The sequence below is a fragment of the Homo sapiens genome, chromosome 17, assembly GCF_000001405.40.
Source record: "Homo sapiens chromosome 17, GRCh38.p14 Primary Assembly".
Lineage (NCBI taxonomy): Eukaryota > Metazoa > Chordata > Mammalia > Primates > Hominidae > Homo > Homo sapiens.
The window spans coordinates 32,823,311-32,827,850 of record NC_000017.11 but is presented as its reverse complement, the minus strand read 5'-3'; the positions used below and the strand labels follow the sequence as shown (position 1 = coordinate 32,827,850).

The window sequence follows — 4,540 nt, the reverse complement described above, 5'->3', positions numbered from 1 at the left end:
TTCTGCTTAAGTGAGAGCTGGATTTTTTTTCAAGGTTACTTTTTCCTCATTGCTTTGGCATAAAAGACAATTCCTTGTGTACATAGTCACTGACCATCTGTTTTGTGGGCTGTAGATTCTAGAGTTTGCCTTTAAACTTAATGATGTCTTTTTTTCTACTCTTTCCTTTTTGGGGGGTGTTCATGTCAGTTGAATCGATTGGAGGTTTTAAAAATAGAGAAATAAATACAAACATTTTTTACAAAATGCTTATTAATTTTTTTATTGTAGTAAAATATATGTAACATAAAATTACCATTTTAGCCACTTTTAAGTGTACAGTTCAGTATTTCTGTAGCATTAAGTACATTCACATTGTTGTTCAGCTGTCACCACTACCCATTTCCAGAACTTTGTCATCATCTCAAACTGAAACTCTACCCATTGGACCATAACTCCCATTCCTCCCTCTTCACAACCCTGGTAACCACCATTATGCTTTCTGCCTCTATGAATTTTTTCATTCCAGGTACTTCATATAAATGGAATCATACAATATTTGTCCTTTTGTGACTGACTTAGTCACAACTTATTATATGACTTATTATAATGTTCTCAAGGTTTATCCATGTTATAGCATGTGTCAGAATGTCTTTCCTTGTTAATCCTGAATAATATTCCATTGTGTGTTCATACCACATTTTGTTTCTCCGTTCATCCATCGATGGACATCTGGGGTGTTTCCACTTTTTGGCTATTATGAATAATGCTGCCATGAACATTAGTGTGCAAATAAATTTCAGGCCTCTACTTTCAATTCTTTTGGGTGCATACCCAGGAATGGAATGCTAGATCATATGGTAAATCTATTTTTAATATTTTGAGGAACTACCATACTGTCTTTCACATTTGGTGGCACCATTTTTCCTAACATACATTCCCATGTTTTATATTTTACATTCCCATGTTTCCTAATATACTGATATAGCATTTTTTAAAAGTTTAAAATATATATATGTATATGTTTTCAACTATGATTGTATCAGAATTTAGCTGGAAATTATGAAACAGTATGATAAATGCATTACCAAATATTGCACTTCTGAAATATTTTCTCAAGATATTTTTATGTCCATTAAATTAGTTTGCTATTAGTACTAGTTTGTCTTCTATTCAGATAGAAATTTTCTCCTATCACAAGAGTGTGGAAGATCCAGTGTCCACGGTCTTCTATATCAGGGCAGGATTTTTGGTGTGTGGTGTCACCTGTATAAATTACATTGTATTCAGTTTTATTAAATGTCAAGTTTTGTTAGATTTCAGATTTTAGTAACATAGAAATTACTGAAGGGATGCACATTTTTCTACAAATAAATTTTCAAGCCATGATTTACTCATTTGCAACTAAATATTTAAGCTCCTATTCTTTTTAAGGTAGTAAGCTGGCTACTGTAAGAAAAGCATCTCTATGTATTTTTTCCACATAGGCCTTAAAAACATTCATTCATTCATATCAACAAACTTTTGTTGACTTCCTATATGCCAGGCTCTGCTAAATGGGTGGGGATGGGAGGTGTTGATTGCAGGTAGGTGAACAGGCAAGTCTTTATTAGACTTGTATGGTTAAGTTATGTGAAGGTGGAAGTACAGAATGCTTTGAGAGTAAATGAGATGGGGCAAACTAACCAATAGTTGGAGAGGAAGGGAGAATGTATCATCAAGATCTCTAAAATACCTCAAAATTCTTCAGGAAGTGTATTCTCCCTAGAATAGTTAACCCCCAGAATAAAGTAGTAATACACTTTTTTTTTTTTTTTTTTTTTAAGATGGAGTTTCACTCTATCACCCGGGCTGGAATGCAGTGGCACCATCATAGCTCACTGCAAGCTCAAACTCCTGGGCTGAGGCAATCCTCCTGCCTCAGCCTCCCAGTAACTGGGACTACAAGCGTGTGCCAGAGCACCTGGCTAATTTTTATCTTATTTTTTAAATGTTTGGTAGAGATGAGATCTTGCTATATTGCCTGGGCTGGTCTTGAACTCCTGGGCTCAAGCAGTCTTCCCGCCTGGGTCTTCCAGAGTGCTGGGATTAGAGGCATGAGCTACCACACCTGGCTATGGTAAACATTTTTATAGCATTTTAATATCATATATCACTTGTGAAATGAGTATTCTGTTAAGGAAGCAGCATTCGACTTCTGTCATGCCCATCAATTAAAACTATCAATAGTTTTAAAACTCTGCGCATATGAGCATGTGACCTTGCTTAAAGAAAAATTGGGCCGGGTGCAGTGGTGCACACCTGTAATCCCAGCAATTTGAGAGGCGAAGGTGGATGGATCGCCTGAGCCCAAGATTTTGAGATCAGCCTGGGCAACATGGTGAAACCCTGCCTTTACAAAAAAATACAAAAATTAGCCAGGCGTGGTGGCACATACCTGTAGTCCCAGCTATTCAGGAGACTGAGGTGGGAGAATCATTTGATCCTGGGAAGTTAAGGCTGCAGTGAGCTGTGATCACACCACTGTACTCCAGCCTAGACATTGGAGCAAAACACTGTGTCAAAAAAATAAAATAAAATAAGATAAAGAAAAAAGAAAAAGAAATGAAAAATCATCCTGAAATAATAAATACCCTGTGTTTATAAAGTAATGTATTATGGAAATTTTTGTTGTAGTAGTACTTAATTTCAGTTTGAAAATGTTGTACACCCAAACAAGCTCAACGACTATTTCTAATATCACATTTTCAAAAGGCCACAGTTGAGATAACAAAGATATGCTGCTATTCTTTAATATTTTCATCACTTTTAATTTAGCTTACTTTTTTATCCTTATTTTTTCATTACTAAAGAAAAACATGCAAGTAACAGTCAAACAATCAGAAGTAAATGAAGTAAAACATGAAATTTCCTCCCTTTCCTCTCCTCCACGAATTCTACTCCACAAAAGTAAACATTGCAGTTTAGTGTGTCTCCTTCCAGGACATGCAAGCATTTGGACAGCCAGCTACTATAAGAGGAGGGAGGGAGGAAGAGCGGGAGAAGGCAAGGGAGAGAAATTGTGCATACCCATACATACATTCAAATTAAATAATAATGAGAGTATGCCATAATAATGTTCTGTATATGGTTTGTTTTCTATTTACTAGAAATGGAAAGTTAGACCAGAGCACCAGCTCCAAAGAAAGAGGTCCTGGGTCAATTCTGAGCCATCACTTACTAAGCCGGGGGACCTCAGACAGTAATGCAGTCTTCTTCAATCCTAATTTTGTCATCTGTCAAATAGGGGTAATTATTTGCTCCTTAACAGGGTTGTGAGGATTAAATGAGATACTATGTGTAAAGTATTTGGGGGACGTGCCTGGCACAGAACCCCAAACTCTGGACAAACAGTAAGCTGTTAGTTTTATGGGTACTATAACTAGGATAGCTGACCCATTATGCTATGCTTTGCTGTGTGAAAGGACAAATATCTCTTTACTGTTCTTTATTTTGCAAAAATTGAACTTTAAAGCCAACTTTTCGAGTTCCTAAATGAAAGTTTATTAGTCTATTGAGTGCAGTTGCTTTGAATTTATAAGTTAAATTTTGGGAGAATTATTACCAACTTTCAGGGTTGTTTTGTTCCAAATGAATCTCTTGTGTTCAGCATATAATTTGATTCTACTTTGTGATCATTCTGAGAGTCTTGCTTTTAATGGTTTTATATGACAATTTATTGACATGACAGATATGTTTGGTCTCAGTTCTGTTTTACTTTATGTAATTTTTCTGCCTTTAGTACTTCTTTTTTTTTTTTTTTTTTGAGACGGAGTCTTGCTCTATCGCCCAGGCTGGAATGCAGTGGCCTGATCTCGGCTCACTGCAAGCTCCACCTCCCGGGTTCACACCATTCTCATGCCTCAGCCTCCTGAGTAGCCGGGACTACAGGTGCCCACCACCACGCCCCGCTAATTTTTTATATTTTTAGTAGAGACAGGGTTTCACCATGTTAGCCAGGATGGTCTCGATCCCCTGACCTCTTGATCCACCCGCCTCAGCCTCCCAAAGTGCTGGGATTACAGGCATGAGCCACCGTACCCAGCCTAGTACTTCTTAAATAGTTTTTGCATGATGTTCAGTGTTTGTGTTGCCTGGCTTTATGTTTTCCTTTTGATAATTTGAACATCTAAAATTAGGTTTTTTCCTAGTAGTTACTTTTATAACTATAACTTTACATTCCCTCTCTCCCTTTGATCACTCAATTTTTAATTACTTATATTACTATTATCAGTTTTCCTAGGTGTATTTCGCCAAATTGGGGATATATATGACCAACCTGTGGGCTTACCAACAACCAGTGGCTTGATTTGCAAAGTTTAACTCAGTTTTAAGCACTATATGCATGTTGTCTAGATTGAAATTCAGACTTAGCCACTTGCTAGTTGTGTAACCTTAGGCAAGTTACCCAAAGTTCACTATGCCTCAGTTTCCTTCTCTGTAAAATATTTTATATATATATGTATATAAAATGAATGCTGCAGAGGTTAGTAGTTGGGCTGATCTTGTAGCTGCGTAGTGT

The 4,540-nt window shown here is 36.8% G+C and overlaps 1 protein-coding gene across 6 annotated transcripts in view; it reads left to right on the top strand.

Annotated features, from left to right (window-relative positions):
- Positions 1-4,540, top strand: part of MYO1D (myosin ID) — a 384,603-nt gene that overhangs the window by 49,274 nt on the left and 330,789 nt on the right. The gene's annotated exons all lie outside the window — the stretch shown is intronic.